General features: G+C 43.6%; 1 protein-coding gene across 8 annotated transcripts in view; it reads left to right on the plus strand.

The window, feature by feature from the left end:
* The window catches only part of MSRA (methionine sulfoxide reductase A), a 374,600-nt gene that overhangs the window by 226,715 nt on the left and 124,312 nt on the right, over positions 1–23,573 (plus strand). For all 8 annotated transcript variants that reach the window (NM_012331.5, NM_001135670.3, XM_011543822.3 and 5 more), the window contains one exon: positions 20,528–20,632. In NM_012331.5, coding sequence (NP_036463.1) covers positions 20,528–20,632 — 105 coding nt within the window. The remainder of the gene's footprint in view (positions 1–20,527; positions 20,633–23,573) is intronic.

Below are 23,573 nucleotides of genomic sequence, written 5' to 3' on the forward strand. Positions count from 1 at the left end.
GGTGGGTTTGGGAATGATAGCTAAAGTGTATGGAGTCTCTTTTTGGAGTGATAAAAATGTTTTAAAATTGATTGTGGTAATGATTACCCAACTGTGAATATACTAAAAACCACTGAGTTATATTTAAATAGGTGGATTGTATAGTATGTGAATTTCATCTCAGTAAAGCTGGTTGTTACCAGAGAAAAAAGCATTTTCTACCAAAATCACCAATAAATTATGATAGCTCTAAACTACTTACTTTAAATTTGTTTGTGCTGATTCTTACTCTCTCTCACCTCTCCCTCTCTGCCATTCTCCTGGACTTTTCCCCATCGTTGGAAATGTCGAATAACAAAGTTTGGATTATTTATCAAAAAGGATTGATTTAATGAAAATGAATGGAGAAGGCTGACATGAACATAATTTTCCAGTTCCCACCCTCATAGGTAATCATCTATAAACCCACTGGGATGGCACAGCCTTGACAATGCGGCGGTGCTTACTAACAAGCACACCCGACCTAGACAGTATGATTTTGCAAAAGCAGAATCCTGAAACAATGCAAGTGCAGTGAACATAGGAGCCAGTACACCGCATATAACACAACTTAGAAAAATGCTATCGATAAGAAATGGTCTTTCAGAGACGATTTCCGGCATGTGCTACAGGGGAAAATGGTATCAAATCTACACAATGACCGGGTTCTATGGAGTGGCTCCTCTGTGGGGAATTTTACTTTATTCTCTTTGCCAGAAACCTTGACCCCACCCTGTCTGTGAAGTAGCAGCCTGCTTTGTAAAGGGGCGCTGATCAAGACGAAGGCTATTATCGAGCTGGGATCCAAACATCTGAAGCTTATCACCAAGCACAATAGTGACGGCTTCTTAGCCACGTTTCTAATTATATTTTTTTCCCTGCTTTTTAGATAAAGGGACAAAGAAATACGGGGCTTACTTTGCAGGTTTTTCAGGCTGCTCTGAAGTGTTCTTTCGAAGGTGGAGGGTTATAGTTTTGTGTAATAGCAGTGCTGGGAACAGGGTGGGTTCTTCCAGACTCTCCCCCCACGTACAATAGTGTGTGGATGGCAGAGATGCATTGGGAGCTGAAATAATTCATTTGTCCTTTCTAATGAATAGTAATAATTTATAATTCGTACTAATCAAAAACCTTTCATCCACAAAAGCCAACAAGTTTTATAAACATTCTCCTCTCACCAGCCTCTACAGTAAGTGCCTGACAAAGGTAGGATCGTCCATAATTTGCAGAAGGGCCAAGATAGAGAACACAGTGCAGAAATCATTACTAATTTATCTGCAGCTTGGAATTTATATTTGGAAAGTCACTTTGAACTTATTTTCATCAAGCTATTTTGATCGCCCAGAAATATAATTTATACTGACCTCCATAATGGATATCTGCCAAGATGAAAGCTACAAAAGTCATTGATCCAGATGTTTTCTGTTATCTGCAAACCTAGCAAAGCCATATTTGCCAGCATAGTCGACATTGTGGGGACAGGTGTCCATTCTGTGTCCCCTTGGTGTCCAGCCCTATTATCTCTGTAGCCTCCGGTGACAGAGCAGCCATAGTGGCACTGTGCTTGATGCAAAGATACCATTACCTTCTCGTCTGTTCTCTGATCAGTGAGTGGTGGCGATATGAGCTGAGCATAAAGCAGGAAGAGTGGGGATGCCCTTGTATTCAGTATACCTCCAGACCTTATCACTACCAAGTGTCCAACACAGGGCTGCTAAGTAATCTTGAAAATATACCTTCCACTCTTATCAGTGCACCTTCTTGACACCAAATCTGTATTCTTGATCCTGGAATTCAGAATTCTCCATCAAAAACATTGAAAAGCAGGTTACTTCATCAGCTCTCCTCTATATACTGTGTTGAGGAAAAGATTTGCATGTAATTAGCCTCCTTCCACCTCCCTCCAGAAAAACCCCCCAAATTTAGAGACCAGTCCTAACCCTTAGAAAATGCATAGTGTTGCAGACTGCTTTTGAAGATTAAAGAGATGAAAATTCCATTCTTAACTTCAAGAGCTTCCTTAAACCTGGTCCAAAAGACTTTCCTAAAAGCCCAGCCAGTTCAGATGATAGGTGCAGACACATCATATTGCATATATTCACATTACACACACACACACACACACACACACACACACTCTCACCCTTCTCTTTGCTGGGGAAAGGTTTGTTGCAGAAGTTACCATTCCAATACACCATGCAAGATGCATTCAGACGTTCTCTTAGATTTCAGTATCACACGGTGGATCCTGCATTTTGTCATATAAAAATTGCACATCATTTTTAGCTGCCTTCAGAACCCTCTTCATATTTATTAGGAGTATTGTGCTCCTATCCAGCAGCTAAAGCTGCTTCGTGTTGTCCAGTTAGGGTGAACTATAGAAGAAATGTCCTATCTACTGCTTTTCTTTTTTAAAAAAATTTTTATTTCCTTAAGTTTTGGGGGAACAGGTGGTATTTGGTTACATGAGTGCATTCTTTAGTGGTGATTTGTGAGATTTTGTTGCACCCATCACCCAAGCACTATACACTGAACCGAATTTGTAGTATTTTATCTCTCACCCCCTTCCTCCTCTTTCCCCCTGAGTCCCCAAAAGTCCATTTTGTCATTCTTATGCCTTTGCATCCTCATAGCTTAGCTCCCACTTATGAGTGAGAACATACAATGTTTTTTTTTCCATTCCTGAGTTACTCCACTTAGAATAAGTCTCCAGTCTCATCCAGGTTGCTGTGAATGCCATTAATTGATTCCTTTTTTGGTTGAGTAGTATTCTATCTCATATATATATATATATATATATATATATATATATACACACACACACACACACACACACACACACACATATATATTACAGTTTCTTTATCTACTCATTGATTGATGGGCATTTGGATTGGTTCTGCATTTTGCAATTGTGAATTGTGCTGCTATAAACATGCATGTGCAAGTATCTTTTTTGTATTATGACTTCTTTTCCTCTTGGTAGATAGCCAGTAGTGGGATTGCTGGATCAAATGGTAGTTCTACTTTTAGTTTGTTAAGGAATCTCCACACTGTTTTCCATAGTGGTTGTACTAGTTTACATTCCTGCCACTGCTTTTCTGCTTTTCTTGAGGGATAATTGGTTAATTAGGAAAACTGACTGAAGAGAGAATGAATCATTATTATTATTACTTTTTTTTGAGACAGAGTTTTACTCTTGTTCCCGGGATGGAGTGCAATGGCACAATCTCGGCTCACTGCAACCTCCACCTCCCAGGTTCAAGCAATTCTCCTGCCTCAGCCTCCCGAATAGCTGGGACTATAGGCGCCCGCCACCACACCCGGCTAATTTTTTTTTGGATTTTTACTAGATACTGGGGTTTCACCATGTTAGCCAGGCTGGACTCAAACTCCTCACCTCAAGTGAACCACTTGCCTTGGCCTCCCAAAGTGCTGGGATTACAGGCATGAGCCAACATGCCCGGCACGGAATGAATCATTTTTTGAAAAGGTTTACAGAAACCTTTAAAAAAGAAAACTTAAATAAATGTACGTTATTGTGCCAAACATTGGATTCATGTCCATTATCTCTCCTTTGACCTAGAGTCCCCTCCCTACTTGGAGTGGCTCCTCATCTTCCTTCTTTAGCACAGTGTGGAGGTAGGAGTGAAGATTCTGGAGCTACATTATGGAGGTCTGGGTTCTGACTCCGCCCCTCAGTGGTGGTGTGATGGTGGCTGTGCCATGTAACCTCTCTGTGCCTAACTGTCCTCATCTGTAAAATGGATATAATGAAAATAGCTCTTATTGGCTTGATGGGAGAATTAGTTGAGTTAGTATATGTAAACCACTTATAGTTGTGCCTCATCCAGAACAAGCACTGTTTGCCACTATTATTATCAAATGATCTCTAGTTTTGCATCTTCAAAATCTAGTGAGAATTTAAAGACATTCGTGTAGCAACTTGAACAAAGAATTTATCTAGATTTTCATGACTTCCTCCCCAATCTTTTTTTCTTTAAAAAAAAAAAAAGCTGGAAAAATACACATAACATAAAAATTACTAACAGCCATTTTTAAGTGTATTGTTCAGCAGTATGGAGCCCATTCCCTTCGTCGTGCAGTCATCACCACCATCCACTCCTCGAGCTCTCTTCATCTTGTAAAACCAAAACTCTGTGACCATTCACCACCAATTCTGCATCCGCCTTCTCCGAGCCCTTGACAGCCACCCTTCCCAATCTTACGGAGTAGTCTTGCCTGCATTTAATTTGACAGTATTTTTAACAACTTTCTTTTATTAAGCTTTCTAAAGCATTTCCCTTATTTTTTATTTTTTGGTTTTGTTATTTTCATTTGACACCTAAAAATGGTACCTATTTATGGAGTACAGGGTGATGTTTCCATACATGTATACAATGTGTAATGATCAAATCAGAGTAATTAGCATATCCATCACCTCAGACGTTTATCATTTCTTTGTGTTGGGAACCTTCAAAAGCTGCTCTTCTAGCTGTCTGAAAATATACAATAAATGATTGTTAATTATAGTCAGTCTGTAGGGTTCTGGAATACTGGAACTTATTCCCCCCATCTCAATGTATTTTGTACCTGTTAACCAGTCTCTCCCTATATCCCCTTCCCCCCACTCCTTCCCCGCCTCTGGTAACCACTCTACTCTCTACTTCTATAAGATCAACTTTTTCAGCTTCCACGTATGAGAGAGAACATGCGGTATTTATCTTCCTATGCCTGGATTGTTTCAGTTCATAAAATGTCATCTAAGCTTATCTATGTTATCTTAAATGACAGTTTTGTTCTTTTTTTAAAACAAAATTAAATATTAATTTTAATAGAAACAAAGCTGTATTTCTTCTTCTGCTTTTATTTCTGTATGTGTGACATTTAATTAAAATTTCTAATTAGAAGATAAAGTGCAATTGGCCTAAACCAGTTTGGGAACAGTCACAACTAATTGGGTAAGGGTACCCCTCAGCTGGAGGGAGCTTCTTGGTGCAGGCATGTCAGAGGGAGCTGTGGGGTTCTGATACTGTGGGCACTGGGCACCGTGTCTGCCAGCAGGAATGGTGTGGCTTATTTAATCTAAGCCATCCTGTCCATTCTAGGATCTTCTTCCTGTGTTATGGTGCTCGTCATTTTCAACATCTGAAGCACTCTTACCTCTACCTGTGTGTGTCTAAGTAGTTCCCGTTTTTCAACATTGATATGGTTTGACTGTATCCCCACCCAGATCTCATCTTGAATTCCCATGTGTTGTGGGAGGGACCTGGTGGGAGGTAATTGAATCATGGGGGCAGGTCTTTCTGGTGCTGTTCTCATGATAGTGAATAAGTCTCACGAGATCTCATGGTTATAAAAAGGGGAGTTTCCCTGCACAAGCACTCCTCTCTTTGCCTGCTGCCGCCGCCATCCATGTAAGATGTGACTTGCTCCTCCTTGCCTCCCACTGTGATTTTGAGGCTTCCCCAGCCATGTGGAACTGTAAGTAGGATAAACCTCTTTATTTTGTAAGTTGCCCAGTCTTGGGTATGTCTTTACCAGCAGCATGAAAACAGACTAATACAAACATCCAGTTAGATATACTGTCTCCATTAAACCAGAGCACTTGTCTGTGCCCCTCCCATGGCACCTAACACTTTCTATCCTGTGTTTTCAGTGTTTGGGTGAGTTCTCCAAGAGCAGGCTCAGTGTATCACATGTCTTTGGATGTCTCCTATCATTGGCTTCAAGCCAAGATTGAAGGCTCACATGTATTGAATTCCTGGCCTGTCCAGCTGGGACAGAGAGAATGAGTAGAGAAACTAAGTATCAGCACACTTTATAGTTAAAGCCTGTGTGTACGCACATGTGTGTGCACACACGTGTATAATGTAATCTTTATAGCGTACCTTTTTGGCGTTTTTATTATAACTGCTGTGCTGACAAGGAAGTCGAGACTCAGAGAGGTTAAGCGATTCGTCCAAATCAAATATTCTAGCTACAGTGCCAATGCCCTTGGCACAGTTTCCCAGCACTTCATTGTTGAAACGTTTGGTGTGTTCCTGAGGGCATGTCTTGGGGCTCCTACATTAATTACTGACCATCATCAGAGATCTACTAGTCAAGGCTAAAAGATTCCCAATATCAATCAAATTACAGCCGAGTCTGCATCTATACGAAGTCATTGGTAGCAATAATTTAGTAGTTACCATTAGCTCCAATGTTTATGGGGAGAAAGCATGAAATTATGGAATCAAACCTACTGGGCCCTGAATGACCTGAATTAAGCAAATAATTTGGCCTCATTGAGGCTTAGTTTTCTCATCTTTGAAATGTAAAACAGACATCATAATACATGGAGTTCCCATGAAGATTTAATACGCAATTAATGCATATGAAAGCATTTCATGAGCTACAAAAGTGTTACACCAATCTAAGGTATCATCATCATCCCACGCTTACAGAGTAACCAGGAATCTCAAGTCAGGAAAAGTCCAGTGCAGAGTTCGGAATAACACAGAACAAGCTACCTAAGTCCAGAAGTGGGGCCTCTGGTGTTTGTTACTGAGAGAACCCCTTTGAGACACACACCGTTCTCATGCGTTGGACTTACTATTAGTGTCTTGGTCTGGTGAATTTTTGCTCAGGGCTTTGTTTCCCTCATAAGTTAAAATAACGACAGGCAAAGGCACGTAGTCTAGCTGAATGCTCTCCATTTTTGTTTCAGACCTGGATATCCTACAGGTGTGAAGTTGCCAAGAATAAGGGAGACCCAGGGGTCAAGGGGACCATGGTAGAGCACTAGAGTCACCCTTTCCTCTGTAAAGTCGTCCCTGCGTTCTCAAGCTGTGTCACTGAACTCTGAGACTACCCTTCTCCAGCAGTAATTGCTTCATCCTGGAGTTGCCATTTGCTTGTTTCTCTGCCCTCCTAGACTGTGAGCTCTTTGAGGTCGGGACCTGTCTTAATCCTGTTTTGGCTGCATCCCAGAGAGTGCTCAGAGCTCATGCTAGGGTTTAGTAAATACTTAGTGAATGAATCCCTCCTGTGGTTGTGATGTTGGATTACGAGCCCCATACAAAAGTGAAAATGAGGCTGGAATTATAGTTGGTTTGGTCACCATTTTGATTGTACTGATATTTGATTGAATCAGACTACTGTTTTTCAGGCTTTAAAAAAATTATAGTCGCCCTAAGCGGCCTTTTTAGACATTTCTCTCTTGTCTCCCCCAGTCCCCTTCCATTAAATTTAATACCACAGATATACTATATACCACTAGTTACTGTGGCCCTTTAGAAGCCGTAGCCATTTTCATATGTAAGATATTTTTGTCCCCCAAGAACCGATTTTTGCCCCCTTGAAGTGACACCACCCTTATTGAGAAATCATAATTTATAGAATCAGGTGGTTTGGTGCTGTGCAGATATTCTAAAGAGTTCCTATTTGATATGTACATAGTCGATTATAAAGTTCTTAAGCCTCAGTTGCTTGTTGTGTTGGCATGCTTTTAAGATAAAGCTGTTGGACTGATTTTTTTTGGGGGGCTGTGGTGTAAAATAACTGATGCTTTTGGCACTGTCTAGGAGGCAAGGCCAAGACTTTCCTCAGACCAGCAACAGTGTTTCAGTGTGGGTCTGAGTTATAAACAAATCTGAAGTTCTTAGTTCCATTTTTTAAAAAAAATTTAGACTAAAAATGTACTTACATTTATTATTAATAGTTTAGTTAGAGCCATGCTTCCTGAGCAATCCTGCCACATCCTTCCTATGTGAGCTATTTGTAAATAATGTACTATCCAAGTTGGGAGAATATGTTACCACCATATACACTTAAAAAGCAACTATAATGTGGCTAATGTGCAGAATGAATAGGCAATTTTCATTGTCTTTGGATGACGTGAAGTAGCTCTCTGGCAAAAATGGTGCAAGCAGCCACGGTGTTTGAAGTGGTGAGCTTCAATAGGAGTGCCATTTCTTTTTTTTTTTTCCTTTTTTCTTTTTGAATTATTTTACTTTATCTTATTTTTTTGAAATGGAGTCTCGCTCTGTCGCCAGGCTGGAGTGCAGTGGCATGATCTCGGCTCACTGCAACCTCTGCCTCCCAGGTTCAAGCCATTCTCCTGCCTCAGTCTCTGGAGTAGCTGGGTTTACAGGTGCCCGCCACCATGCCTGGCTAATTTTTGTATTTTTAGTAGAGACGGATTTCACCATGTTGGCCAGGATGGTCTTGATATCTTGACCTCATAATCTGTCCACCTCGGTCTCCCAGAGTGCTGGGATTACAGGCATGAGCCACTGCACCCAGCCTTCTTTTTAATTTTTGTGTGTACATAGTAGGTACATTTATGGGGTATACGAGATGATAGGCATATTATCTTGTGTATCAAGATAGTGGGTATATATATTTATGGGGTACATGAGCTGTTTTGATACAGGATGCAGTGTGTAGGAATCACATCATGGAGAATGGGGTCTGCATCCCCTCGAGCATTTATCCTTTGTGTTACAGACAATCCATTTATTTTCTTTTAGTTATTTTGAAATGTACAGTTAAATTATTGACTATAGTCACCCTGTTGTGCTATCAAATGGTATGGAGTGCCTTTTCTCATCCATCGCATGGAGAGTTTAGAACAGTTTTTGAAGAATATGAAAACATATTGGACTTGATTTCAAAGACCCCTTCTATTATCATGCTCGTAGGGCCTCTCTAGTTGTCTTTTAACTCTGAGGTGGAACACAGACACTTTTAGGAAAACGTACGCTTGACAACTTACCCAGAGAAACCTGTCTTTGCTTGGAGAGCCGTCCATGTTGTTCTGTTTGTACTAACATAGATCCTAAACATTTGAAGTCTTCTGGCATCTCATTGTGAAGTTCTGCGATGCCATGGTTGATCATTATTAGTATATGGAGTTATAAGATTTGATTACCACTGGTAAGTTCCCAAAGTGCTTTGTGCTTTCCCCTTTATGTCTGTTATTGCTCTTAACCATCTTCTAAGATTGATAGGACAGATATTAGTATGCCCATTTTATAGATGAGCAGCCTGTGGCTAAGAGAAGTTAAGTGGCCTCTCTAGCAGATTATGCCCTCAAATGTAGAAAAACTCAATGTGGTTCTTCAGACTCCAAAGTCAGTGCCATTTACTTGCCCGTAGTAAATGCCTTCAGCCTTCTTAAAAGCCATCGTGGAGGAGTGAGCAGGTCCCAAGAAGCACTGCCTGGACTGTGAGTAGGAGGAGGCAGAAGTTGACTTAATAAAGGCATGGATTTCTAGCAATTAGGACATCCCAATAGTGGCATGAACTACTTTGAGAATTAGAGAGTGCCCTGTCTTGAAATGGTCATCTGGAGGTTGGAGTGGGCTAAACTATATAGTATGCCATTTGGCTAGATGACCTTTCAGGTCCCTTACAATTCTGAGACTTTGTTGAAAAAAAAAAATGTTCTGTCCATTTCCTCCTTTGTGGTTTAGCCACATACATCAGATGCCCAAGTTCGTGGTTCCTTTCCCAGCTTTGCATCAGAAGCACCCATGGGGCTTTGTGAGAATGCATATGCCAGGCCTGCCCCCAGCTCTCCTGTATCGGAATTCCATTGGTGGGGTGGAGGGGGAGGCGTGAGAGTATGTTTCAGAGTTCCACAAGGATTTCTAAGTTGTTAAATTGTGAACCACTCTCCTTGTGTAGCCCACTGACAACAAGGCACACACAGACCTCTTTTTAAACTTGGTGGTATAATTCAGTAGCATCAAGGAATCATAGTTTCTCAGTGTGCAATACCCTTGTTAATATTAAAAGGCCATTTAATAAACTGCATTGGTTCTCTTGGCTGCAGGGATACCATGGTCCCTGCTTGACAGATTGGTTTTGCCCATATCTTATCATCCCTGCCTGTTTCGCAGCAGAGTGGGAGTTTGGTGCCAGTCTAGAAAATGGGCACAGGTCCTTTTGTACCCTTCTTATTCTGGAAAATCCAGCTCAAAGGGTTAGCATTGGGTGCGAAGGCCAGCCTCTGAAATCAGCAGGTTGGATACAGAAACTAGGGAGTGGCTCACTGCTATCCTAGTTACCTACTTCTACGTACTGGTTTTCTTTGTACCAGTTAGAAACCTCCAGTGCACAAAGAATTAACGGTTGCCATTGACTGCTTTCTTGAAGACTTTTCTTGATCCAGTACTGAGCTGTGTTTATGGCACTCCTCTGAGAGCATAATCTCTGAAGGATATGTCTGTATAAAATATACAGCAGAGGATCATAAATTCTCCATCGTGTCTCCCCATGGCGGGCCAACAACAACAAAAAATTCACAATTGCTCCACCAGTATTTTTTTTCTACTTTTCAATCAATAGGATGCTTTTTAAAGCTTATGTTTCTCGTCGGACACTTTAAGTGACGAATGAGACAAAAGAAAAAAAAAAGCCAAGATAAAATGACAGTATAGACACTCCTCAAATCCTATAATGAACTCCACAGGGCATCCAATTTTGATGTATTAGGATTTTTTTTTTATAATGAGTACATTGTTGGAAATCACATTTTCTATCCGCAGGAGCTGGAGATGAAACCGAGCTGACATCTTACCTCTTTGTAGTTAATTAGCAAGAGAAAAGTAGTGTTTTGAATCTCGTGTGGGAAAAGGGGAGGTATTATTCACCCACCCTCGCCCCTTTCTCCCTTCAAACACCTGGATCATTCTGTGTGCTCTTTGATTTGGTTTAACGGTTTGGATAAGTCTGGCTGGCAGGGAAAGGATGAGGGAGGTTGAAGAATGGTTATTATTTAATGAAAAAAAATTACTGTGTCTCCCTCTCCCCTCCATCTTGCTTATAGGATAAATAAACTAAGTCAAGTCTTTTTATTTTAAAGATCAGTTTCTTACCTGGACTCGGACTCTAGGCAGTTCCCGTGGCACAAGGGTTGTTTGTTGTCACCATCGTTACATTAGTCACCGTGGAATCCTCAGTGCTCAGCACCGTGCATGGAGCTTAGCAGGCATTTGATCAGTATTTATTAATGAATAAATAAAATGGTGCTGGCCCATACAGTAAAGTATTCTAGTCGCATTAGCTGTGTCTAATACCTTTCTCTGCATAGTAGCCACATCCACTTTAGGATTTGTAGTGAGGTTTCCGTAGAATTCAGTGGTTAGGGACAGAGGGTTGGAGTCCAGTGTGCATGTGGGATTCCATCTAGGGACTGGTCATTGGCAGGTGAATGGAGCTGGGGTCCATACAGATGCCCCGTCCGGATGAAGGATAAGTGAGTGGTGGGCAGATGCAGCACGAGGGCTCCTCCGGCCCATACGTCTTTATTAACATCACATCACATGCCCAGTCCTGGGGCCTACAGAGGAGAGCCACTGTCACTAAGCACATACTTGTAAGCACTGAGCACTCACAGGTTGCACCGCATGGGACTGATCCCAAGTAGAATAAGATGGGGCGGCAGGGCCGGGTGTGGAAGGAAACACCACTTTTTGCATCTCCTCTCCCTGCCCTTGCTGAACTCTGCCTGCTCCCTCCACCGTCGGTCCTCTTCACAGCCACCCGGTGGGGGACCCCAGGGGAGGTGACTCAGTGGAGGAGCCCTGCTCTGACAAAGTCAGTCCCACAGAATCGCAGTGGCCGGGCTCTCTCCCTGCACAGCGCCTCTTCCTGGGGTCCCCAGCTCAGAGAAGCCTCCTGGAGGAAGCAAGACTCGAGGGGACCCTGAAAGCAGGCAGGGCTTGGACTGTGGGTAGCCTGGGACACTGTGGACTGGGGACAGCAGGACCTGGGGTGACCCTGAGGGCAGAGAGGGCTTGGTGGGCGAGCCCTACAGGCTGGGGACAGCAGGAGCCGGTGGTGGGTGTGAGGGGTTAGCCTGGCCTGGGGAGGGTGGGGGAAACCAGGTTGCTGTCATACCAGTGATGGAGGGCCCTAGTGGCCAGCCAAGGGCTCCTGTAGGCCCCAGGGAAGGGGACAGAGATGACAGGTGTGGAGAAGCAGCAAGGAGGAGGGCTTGTTGGCCTCTGGCTAGGCTTGGGGTTGTCTCCGTCCCTCGTGAGCTCTGAGCCTTGGCTTTCCTCTCAGTAAAATGGACATAGGAGCATTTACCCCAATGGCCAAGGGTGGCTGCAATGCTGACATGAGTCTATGGATCTAGAGGCTTTGCAGGGCACAGGACACTGTCTGAAGGCAGAGTCTGAGGTTCCTGTCCCTATAGGATTGCATCAGGGGTGCGCCATCCCTATGATGGGCCAGCTAAGCAGCTCCCATGGTGGCCAGGTGCGTGGGTAAGCTCATGAGCCACTTTGTGGCTTTGCAACAACAAAGATGAGCTACTGCTTCCATTTGGATTCCTGCTCTTGCTTTGGATGCCCTCCCCGCCCCACAAGTCATCTGCCGTGACCGCTTCCTCCGTGTGCGTCTGACGTCCCGGTATGCGTGTGACTGCTCAGGCGTGACTGCTTAGCGCCCACCAATGCTCTCCTCCAGACATCTGCATCTCTGAGCATCTTAGCCTGGGCCTCAGTCCAGCCTCCCCCACTTGATATTTGAATGATTTTGGACGAGCACTGTGTTTTGGATAGCACTGTGGTGACTGTTACTAGGGAATCATCTGGACAGCGAAGAAAGGTCCGACGTGTCTCTGGTTCCCCAACCTCTTCCTCAGCTGTACTGCAGGTCTCCGTAAAGGGTTCCTTTCCTGTTTCCTTCCTCCCCTCCTGCTTCCTCCCCTTCCCTCTCCTCCCTCCCTTTCCTTCCCCTTCTCTTCCTCCTTGCCCTCTGGGGCTCCTGTGAGTCTCCTGATGACTGGGGCAGCAGGTGCTGGGACACAGGAGAGCACAGGCTGAGAGCTGGCTACTCAGGGATCTGTGGCGCTCTAGACCAGTGGTTCACAACCTTTCCTTAACACTAAGAATCATCTTGGGCCAGGCATGGTGGCTCATGCCTGTAACCTCAACACTTCGAAAGGCCGAGGTGGGAGGATCACCTGAGGTTAGGAGTTTGAGACCAGCCTGGCCAACATGGCGAAACCCCATCTCTACTAAAAATACAAAAACCACCCAGGCATGGTGGCATGCACCTATAATCTCAGCTACTTAGGAGGCTGAGGCAGAATTGCTTGAACCTGGGAGGTGGAGGTTCCAGTGAACCGAGATTGCACCACTGCACTCCAGCCTGGGCAAGAGAGTGAGACTCCTCTATCTCTAAATAAATAAATAAATAATTTTTAAAAAGAATCATTTTGGGAAACTTTTAGACATAGATTCCCTGACCAAGGACATTGGGAACCAAGTCACAGTAGCAGTCAAATGATACTAGCAACGCTGCCATGAAGAAAGGTGATACCGGCTGAGTTATTCTGCCTGTGCTGGGCCAGACTGCTCAAATGCCTCCCGTGGAGTTTTGAGCTAATCATCAGGACAGTCCCCTGAGGTGGGTGCTATCAGTGTCCCCATTTTGCAGTTAAGGAAGTTAAAGCCCATAGAGGAAGAAGCTTTGCCAAAGTCACACAGCTGCTAAGTGACCAGGGTGGCAACTCGGGCACTCTGGCTCCCAAACCGAGTTCTTGAGCTCTCCTCTCCATGCTCCTTTGGTCTGGGTGGTGCCCAGCCATCTGTCTAGATAGGTATCCTGCTGACTGCAATGTGGCAGTCTATGGCTGGTAGGGACGTGGGGGAACAGTGTCACCGACCTCCTTGCACAGGGCTGTCATTGCACTGCGGGCTACAGCAGAGCCCAGTTCACACTGGAGGGGCACCCACTCAGCTGGGCTGTTTTCTGAGGAACCAGTTGTTTGTCCTCCCCTAACCTTCCCCACAGCAGCACAGAGTCCAGGAACCCTGAGCACCGGGACCAGGGCCGGCTTGGGAGGGGTGGGGGCGGGGGCTTTGTGCACAGGTCTTGCTTGTGGGCCTCATTTCTGTGTCTCTGGTATGAGAAAAACCTGGATTGAATAGAAAGACCTTCCCTGAAACTGGGAGGTTGCTGAGAGACCAAAGAATGACTTGGACAAGTCCAGCTTGGCGATAGATGAGTTTATTAGGACTTACATAGCAGGCACTCCTGGGCGGCAGGACAGATCTAGAGATCTCTGCTGCTCCCGTCTCTAAACTGCCTTTAAGCTAATTTCCTGGCTCTTTGCCTACTGTGTTTGGGCAATGAGACTGCTTGTCTTGCTACGTTCTCAGATAAGTTCCGGGGCATTGGGTTCTCAGGGACGCCTGCTCCTCAGCTGGGCACCATGGCCTCAGCTCCACCTGACTTCAAGGCTCAAGCAGTGGACACACACCTTTAAGGAACCTGCTGGGGGACCGTCGCACTGCGCTGCCTCTCTCATTTCCCATTTCTTGTCCCCACGAAGCCTCTCCGGAAGGCACAGGCTCTGCTCTCGTTCTTACTCCTTCCTTCTCACACAGGGACCTGGGGATCTACACAGACCACGTGGGCCTAGACTGCTGGCCCAGTGACCCTTGGAGGCCCCCTTGGTCCTTCTAGATGAGCCCCACCTGGGACCCCACGCAGGCCGAGCTGCTCTTGGTTCTGACGGCTCTGCTCGGCCTCCCTCCCAAATCTCGTCTACATAAGACCTGCTTCCCTGCTGGCGAAGCACCACCATTTCTATGGAGAACTTGGGGTGTCATTCTCAACTCCAGTCTGAGTTGCCATCATGTTCCATGATGCTGGCAGCGTGTCCCAGCCTGTGGTCACTTGGCACCCCCTGGAGAGGTGGACTTGTACTCTGGATCTGCAGCCCAGGCAGCAGTGGGAGCCTTTCCTCCAGCTCAGCCCCGGTGCCTCTGCCCTCTCCCAGGTCTCATGGACTCTGGTGGACAAAGGTTCTTGTCAGAGGAAGTCGTTGACAGGGTGCGATGGGAAACGGCCTCTCCAGGGAGGCAAGATTCCAGCCTCAGCTCTTGCTCCTGTAGCCCCTCTTTCGGAGGTGTCTTTCTGCCTGGATTAAACACTTGCTCATTAAACCTGGCTTAATAAGAAACTAGAAAAGAAAAAGAATTAGAAAAATTCTGATTCTAGACTGGGTAATCGCTTTGAGAAATGCGATTTTTCCCTTTTGCCACTTCATCAAAAGAGTGAGAATCTGGGCCTTTCTAGGGTGTGGATGAAGGCTGAGCTGCAGTCTCCAGCAGAGGAAGCTCAGTGCCCAGACCAGTAGTACACACAACTGAGACTTCTAGAATGAATGAAGAATGAATGAATGGATAAATTGGAGTGAGGCACTTACAGAGATAAAATTCAGTTTGATAAGAAGGAGGCGTCCTTAAATCTTGTGTTTTCTCCTAGAGTTGAGTCCTAATGGGGGCGGCATCCTTGTACGGAAACACGAAAGGTTAATAGCAATAACAATAGAAACCTCGTGTTTGTGTATGGAGAGCCTTACGCTTCCCAAATACTTTCCCACAGATGACCTCATTTAATCTTTGTTTTGTCACAGAGATATTTTATTCCCATCTAAAAAAGTAGGACACCCGGGATCACAGTCAAAAAGGTATTAAACTCTGTGTTGGAATGATGGTTTAAGCTACTTCTTGTGACTTCTATTCCAATTTTCCCCATGTCATCACGGCTGATTAGAGAATAATTATGATAATACAACTGAGAATAATATAAGATGTAGAGACTTAAGTCCCATGTGCCAGGCACTAATCACCCAGTTTGCAGGTGAAGAAACTGTGCATAGAGTGGTTGGGTAGATAAAGGCCCCCCCAGCATGGGTGTGGGTCCCGAGGAAAGGCATGGCTCATTTGCCAGGGAGCTGTGGTGTGGACCTGCTTTGCCTCCTCTCCCAGACCCCGCCAAGGTCATGCACCTGCCCAGCAGCAGAGCCAGGAGGCCAACCCTGACAATCTGACTCCTCACCACTACCTGCTGGCATCTCACCACAGCTCACCGGCTCTCTCTTCTGTTCTTATGTACTGCGTGGGCCAGTTCCCTGCTCTCTTGTTCTTGTCCCAGCAGCCCAACAGTAGCAAAATCTAATTATCCTAACCTGGAAGAATCAAAGGTGACATTTTCTCCACGGATAGGAAGCTGTGCTGGAGGACTGTAAACATTGGTTGACTTATCTCGGGGTTCTCTTTAAAGGCACCTAGTTCCATGGATGACTTAGCTTCCATGTAGCTAGATGACCCCAGAATGCCTGATTTTCCTGGCCCCAGGTCATGCTTGTATGTCTCTTCTTGGATTGGATGCTTCGTCTAATCCAAGGAATGGCTGCCTTTAATCAACCCCTCTCCATTTGTTCATCTTCCTCTGGGGCTGTGGGGTAAGGCAGTGGAGGGAGATGCTTAGAGAGGACATCATCCTTTTCATTTTTTCTTTCAAGATATTTTTGAACAGCAACGTTAAAGCCCCCGTAATGCTGCTGTGAATTGTTAACAAGCATGTTTGCACGTCACATCTATCATGCTATGTGCGCGATGTTATGTGAAGACACGGCTTGAAGTATTTTTAAGATCTGGCCTTTCATCTCTGGAAGCACAAGAAAGTATTTGCAGATTGGTCTCTGGAATGAAATTAGCCTAGCACGTTGGCTGGTTCCTGTAAAGTGTGGGCATTTCTGTAAGTGGTTCTGAGTCCCTTAATCCTTTTGATCATTTGCACTGTGTATTTTTACACAGGTTCTTTTACTTTGGAGAAATAAAGTAAAGAAACTTAAAGGTGAGTTTGGCAAGGGCATCACTGTGCTGTTTGTCAAGGCAAATGAATCTTGAATTTGAATGGTAGTAGTTTCTTTTAAACAACCAAGCTTCTTTAAACCTCTCCACAAATAACGTCAGTGGCAGATTATGTCTGAAAGTGTTTGCTGGCGAGTGGAAATCTTTCCTGACCCCATATTGCTGTCATGAAAGAAGAGCCTAATCCCATAAAATATTCTTGACAGCCTCGTGTCAGTTACCACACAGCTGTGATTTCTTATCTGGGCTACAGCCTGTGTGACATTTGTTGTCACTTCATGGCTTCAGGTTTCTCCATTCAGAAGCTCAGGTCATAGTAGGAGGTTGAGCTTCATCCCCGGTTGAAACCTGGTTCGCGTATGACTGAATCCTCTTACGTCCTCACTGTTGTGTGAAAAAACTCATAGGGAGACCTTGATTTCCTCATCTGTTTAATGGGGACCATATGTCTCTGGCAAAATAGTTGTGAGCAATGTTTGTATGTCTGTGTTCACAGTAGCATTGTTTGCAGTGGTAAAAAGGTAGAGGCAACCCACATGTTCGTTGATGGATGAATGGATAAACAAACAAAATACACCCAATAGAATATTATTCAGCCCTAAAAAGGAAGAAAATTCAGACACATGCAACAACATGGGTGAACCTTGAGGACATTACGCCGAGTTAAGTAAGACAGTCACAAAAAGACAAATAGTGGATTCCACTTATAGGAAGTCCCTAGAGAAGTAAAATCCACAGAGACAAGAAAGTGGAAAGGGGGTTGCCAGGGCCCAGTGGGAGCGGGCAAGGGGAGTTGATATTTAATGGGTACGGAATATCAGTTTTGCGAGATGAAAAGAGTTCTGGAGCCGGATGATTAGTGATGATTGCAAAACATTGTGAATGTACTTAATCTGATGGTAAATTTTATGTTATGTTCATTTTATCAAAATAGGAAAAAAATCATGAGCATTAAATGGCATCAAGTAGATAAGTGGCTACCATATCATTGTTGTTCACTAAATCATAAAGTAACAGCTTTGACCATGTGTGGGATAGTAAAATATGTGGTATTTTAATGGTTCTATGAAACTTCATCTTATGAGTATACCACGTTTGTTTCCCTTTGTTTGGCTTGTGTATTTCTTATAAGTATTCTACCATTGTAATAATGACAGAGTGAATTTTTTGTGCATGTATATATCTTTTCTATTAGTTGAAGTTATACCTTTGAGATGGATTTCCTGGATCACTTAATCAAGGTAAATGAGCGTCTTTGTGGCTCTTGCTACATACACCCGTGGGGTTTCAGAAAAGATTTAGTGATTTTACCCTGTCACTAGCCAAGTAAGGGCACCATTTCATTGTATCCTCAACAGCACTAAGATGCTTCTAAGCAATTTTATTAAATATGATAAGAGATAATATGTTAGTGTTTGAATATGCATTTATTTGCTTTCATTTTGATCACTAAAAATGTTGGCATTTTGCATGTCTCAATTTACATGTATTTCTTCACATAGGAAGAAATACATGTAAATTGAGAAGAAATAGCCTGTTTACGTCTTTTGCTTATATTTTAGTGTGGTTTCAATGTTTTTCATGCCAAATATGTCTGTCATGTTGATAACATATTACCATTTTTAATATTCAGAGATTTTTAATGCTTATGTAGTTGAATCACTTATTTAAACATTTCAAATTACAAAATAATATGTTCTACTAGAGCAAAAGTGGTTTTACAATCACATTATTATACCTACTGTATCTTTTTCCCAAACTCTCCACTGTCATTCTTTTCATATCTTTTAGCATAAAATCTGTTTAGATGCTAACTTGAATGACTATAGTATTTGAATTAAAATTATATGGACTAGCCAATTAATAATAAAATATTAATATAATAATAACCCAGTATAAAAGGACATGCCAATTAGAGCAAAGAAGAAATTAAAATTGCTAATAACCATGAAATTTGTGTTTTACTTCACTAATAATATAAATTCATCCTAAATAAAACAATAGAATCCTATCTTCCAGCTATGAATTGCTAAGGATTAAAAATGTTGTAATGGTGACTGAGACTGGCCCTCAAAAACGCTGCCAATGGAAAGAGAAAACTGGGTCAACTTTACTGAAAAGCAGTTTGGAGCTAGGCATCAAGAAATTTAAAAATGTTTAGAAACATTGATTTAGAAATTCCATTTATATAACTAAGGCTTGAGGCAGCTTCAGAAGCATGGAAAAATATTTACATTTATGGATAAAAATATATTTCAGTCTAATTGCCCAATGACAAGGAATGATTGAATAAGTAGTTGGACAACCATCTGATGGGGAGTTATGTATTCATTATAAATGGTGTTTTCTAAAAGTTTTAGTGACATGGGGAAGTATTCCCAATATAGTGGTAAGAGAGAAAAGCATGCTGTAATGAATGCAGTGGAAGAAATTTGTGTGTGTGTGTGTGTGTGTGTGTGCACGCGTGCATGCACACATCTGGTAGGCACCCAGGAAGAGATTGATAAAATTTATTGATAGTGCTTATGTGGCAGTAGTATAGGTGATTTGTATTTTCTTTTTTCTTTCTTTTTTTTTTCTTTGAGATGGAGTCTCACCCTGTTGCCAAGGCTGGAGTGCAGTGGTGCGATCTCGGCTTACTGCAACCTCCACCTCTCAGGTTCAAGTGATTCTCCTGCCTCAGCGTCCCGAGTAGCTGGGATTACAGACACCCACCACCACGCCTGGCTAATTTTTGTCTTTTTAGTGGAGACGGGGTTACACCATGTTGGCCAGGCTGGTCTTGAACTCCTGACCTCAAGTGATCCGCCTGCCTTGGCCTCCCAAAGTGCTGGGATTACAGGCATCCACCACCACACCCAGCTAATTTTTTTGTTCAGTAGAGATGGGGTTTCACCAGATTGGCCAGGCTACTCGAACTCCTGACCTCAGGTGATGCACCCTCCTCGGCCTCTCAAAGTTCTAGGATTACAGTGAACTGCCATGCCCAGCTTGCCAAATTCTTTACTACACATAAGGTGACTGAAAACAGATAGATAAAAAATTTATATAGCCTAGTGATCTTAGTATGGAGGGATCTCTTATTTGCCATGCTCTAAGACTATAAAAGAAAGAAGGACATGAATTTCACAGGTACAAGCAGTACTGCAAATACCCACCCCTGATCCACCAAACCTCCAGGACCACCACTGAGAACAGGCCTACTTACAGAGGATCCTGCAAGTAGACATATGTCACCATCATTGTTTACCACAGAGAAGAATTAGGCTGGGAAAACACTTACCACCCTGCTGGGTATTTAAATCTGACCCTTGTCCCAGTGTTAACAGCACAGCACGTATGTCCCTCCTTAACTCACTGATCTCATGTGAACGAGTGATCAGCCTGTTTTTTACAGGTTTCTCTCCCTGGCACCATCTCACTGTGGTGCAGCTGAGCTCACTACATATAGCATGGAGTGATGATAAAAATAAATTGGCTCTTTCCCTTTGCAGAGTTTCAGTTCTTGAGCGCTATGTCAGGGTGGATCCATAAGGTTTCCTGAGTGAGCTTAGAAACCTGAAAACCCACGTTTGTTTTTTCATGAACTTAAAACAATTTATTAGAGCACAATGTAGAAGTCATCGCAGCAAGCTCCCTGGAAGAGAACTGTATGCTTTTATGGAAAAAGAACCAGTAACAGAGCCTTGAGAGAGACTCTTAGCTAAAGTCTAATCCTCCTTCCATTCTTCCTTCACAGGGTAGAGTTTCAGCTTTTGTCTGTTGTTTTTTTTGTGAACAAAAAACTTGCAATAAATGGATGTTGTCAGTAAATTTCGGTTGTACGTTTTGTTTTTTCCAAGAAAAAACTGGCCATGCAGAAGTCGTCCGAGTGGTGTACCAGCCAGAACACATGAGTTTTGAGGAACTGCTCAAGGTCTTCTGGGAGAATCACGACCCGACCCAAGGTAGAGTGATGAGTGAGCCAGTATTTAATTATCTTACTAATTACAGCTGGGATAATTAGTGTTTGAGCTGCATGGAAGAGATGAACCTTGAAATCACACAGGAGCTCAAGAATATGATTGCAGACATTTATTGACGGAGGAGAGGAGGGGCTGGGGAGAAAAAGGGTGAGAGAATAAAGGCACAGCCACATTCGGCGCCCCTGCCCCCCTTACAGCTGTCAGGGGTGGGAAAATTCCCACAGAGGAAGACGCCAGACAATAGCGATCCGTTCACCTTTGATTATTGCATTATTCCTCCTTAATGCAGTCTTTTGTCTACAAAATTAAAGTGTCTTTCCAGCAGCTCCAAAGATTCCTGATTTATGGTTTCTTTATTTCTCTGAGTTTAGCCTTTCTCGTCTTTTGACGTTATCAGGTTGGATTTTTTTAAAAAAATGTATGTGGTGATAAAGAAGAACATAAAGGTAAAATGCAGTATTCACTAGGTCCACAAAGCTTGCTCATTTAAATATTTCATTTGTTCTCTTTGGAATTTGTTATGTGGAGATATTAATATATTTGGGCTATAAACAATGGTGGTTGGAAATTTTATTTGAATGCATACACAAGTGAAATATTCCATGTTGGCAAATATCATTGTAATATTCAATAATGAAGCAATTTCAAGATCGCATCCCAGCAGCCTTGCAGGCCCTGCTTTGCCAGTGTGATGATCTGATATTATGCAGCTTATGAACTGAAAAGTCCTATGCAATAGATGTGGTTTTTCACAAACCCTCTTCATTTGGCAGTCAGTCTATTTCACCAAAGTATTTTCTCTTTGGTGTCAGATTTTTGTGTAGTGGATATGCAGTGTTATTTCTTGATGAGTGAAGTTTTTCTCCAAATGTAAATTGTGCTTCATGGTGGAATCTTCATATGCCTGTAGCAGCACAGGTTGGTGGGTCCTGAGTGCTGGTTCTAAGAACCATCCCATTCTAGGGCTTTTTGCCAGAGGGCAAAGGTCAGAGATGAGGCAAGAGCAGCAAAGTGACAAACTCGAGCAGGGTGAGGCAGGTTCAGGATCCACGCAGATCTATCAGGGCAGATGGCGGCCTAGAGGTCTGGGCCTAGGAAGGAGGCCGGGGGCACGATTTCCATGACCACAAAGTCTGGTTTGACATGGGGGAATGGGTACCTGGTGGAAGAGGGATGAGGTATGGGGCAGGGTAGGGAAAGAACCGGTAGGACAAGAACACTCTAATCAGAAGGTTCACGTGTCACCCTAGCTTGGGATATGGGACATCACTTCATGTGGGAAGGCAGGTCTGTGGGCCTAGATTGCTTTGGTTCTGCAGGAAGCTCTGCAGTGAGGATCATAAATCAGGGTGGTGACAGCCAGTCGCTCCTTCTGGTAAGTCATCAATCCAGATGGAGCAGACGTTCAGCCATTTGACTGTCAAAGTCAAGGGTCAGAGGAAGATGATAAGAGCTCCAAAATTATCAGTGAAGACATGTATCAGAGGCCCAGGCAAGGCCTGAAGGCATGTAGGTGACAGGTCGGGTCTGTGTCCTTTAATGTGGCCAACTGCAATGCCACGTCCTGATAGAATCTCCTTAGGCTTAGGCCTGGCAGAATTGTAAAGAAGGCCAAGTCTGTCGTCAACTTCTCTCTCCATACCGCTCTTAAATGCTTTCATTTGATCACATCTTCATTGATTAATTGGGTTGCTAATACCGGCCCCTGAACCTCGGGGGGAATACTACTATGATGAGGGTTTGGGCTGGGAGAACTCACCTCTCTGTTCATCATTTGGCCTTCTATGGGCTCTGTGTTTGTAATGGTGGCATCTCTGGGGTTAAAAAAGATTTTCCAGATCTTCACATCATAGGTGGTAATATGGAGACCAAAACAAGGCAAGGGCATGGCTAAGGTTGTAGCGTGATCCAGTCTCCCCAGCTGAATTCAGAGAACCACTCATCAACACCAGGGCAACCCTGACTGCCCCAGGACCCCTCCAATCTGTGGTCCCCACCCTTCTGCCTCTCTTATGGACCATCTCTTTCCATAGGTCAGTGGCCTCCCCACAGGTGAGGAAGAGGTAAGGAAGGGCAGGGGATGATGGTTAGTTAAGGGTAGGGCGAGAGATCCTCCGTCAGGAACCTCTACTCAGCTGGCTTTGTTTTTCTTAAGCTAGTTTTTTAGTTTCTATTACATGTAACAGTAACAAAAATCCTTACTAATCCACCCATTCAATCCAAACAATCTTATGCCCATTATATTTGCCAGGTGCCCTTTTATTTTTTGTTTTTGTTTTTTATTTTATTATTTTTTTGAGACTGAGTCTTAATCCTTTGCTCAAGCTGGAGTGCAGTGGCGTGATCGCGTCTCACTGAACCCTCCACCTCCCAGGTGCAAGCAGTTCCCCTGCCTCAGCCTCCTGAGTAGCTGGGATTACAGGTGCATGCCACCATACCTGGCTAATTTTTCATGTTTATAATAGAGCTGGGGTTTCACCATGTTGGCCAGGCTGGTCTTGAACTTATGACCTCAAGTGATCCACCCTCCTTGGCCTCCCAAAGTGCTGGGATTGCAGGCGTGAGCCACTGCGCCTAGCCACCAGGTGTACTAAATCACTAAGGCATCTGGGATACGCACGAGTATCCGGCCTCTTGGTTAATGCACATGGAAAATATATTCCTACAGGAAGAAAATAATTAATTCCAATATGCTGAGATCAAGTGAGCATACAGATAAATGCGCATAAGACCACAGGCTAAATGTTAACATGAAATCATTAAAACAAGTATGTGTTAGCACTTGAACATTAAAGGCAAAAAACAAACAATAACCAACCCTTAAGTTCAGAATAACTCTGGTATCAATGGAGTTGATATTCCTGGGGAACCCTGAAGGTCCAAAAACAGTGACACATGTCAAGTGTCATTTTTCCAAGGTCAG

The sequence above is a fragment of the Homo sapiens genome, chromosome 8, assembly GCF_000001405.40.
Source record: "Homo sapiens chromosome 8, GRCh38.p14 Primary Assembly".
NCBI lineage: Eukaryota > Metazoa > Chordata > Mammalia > Primates > Hominidae > Homo > Homo sapiens.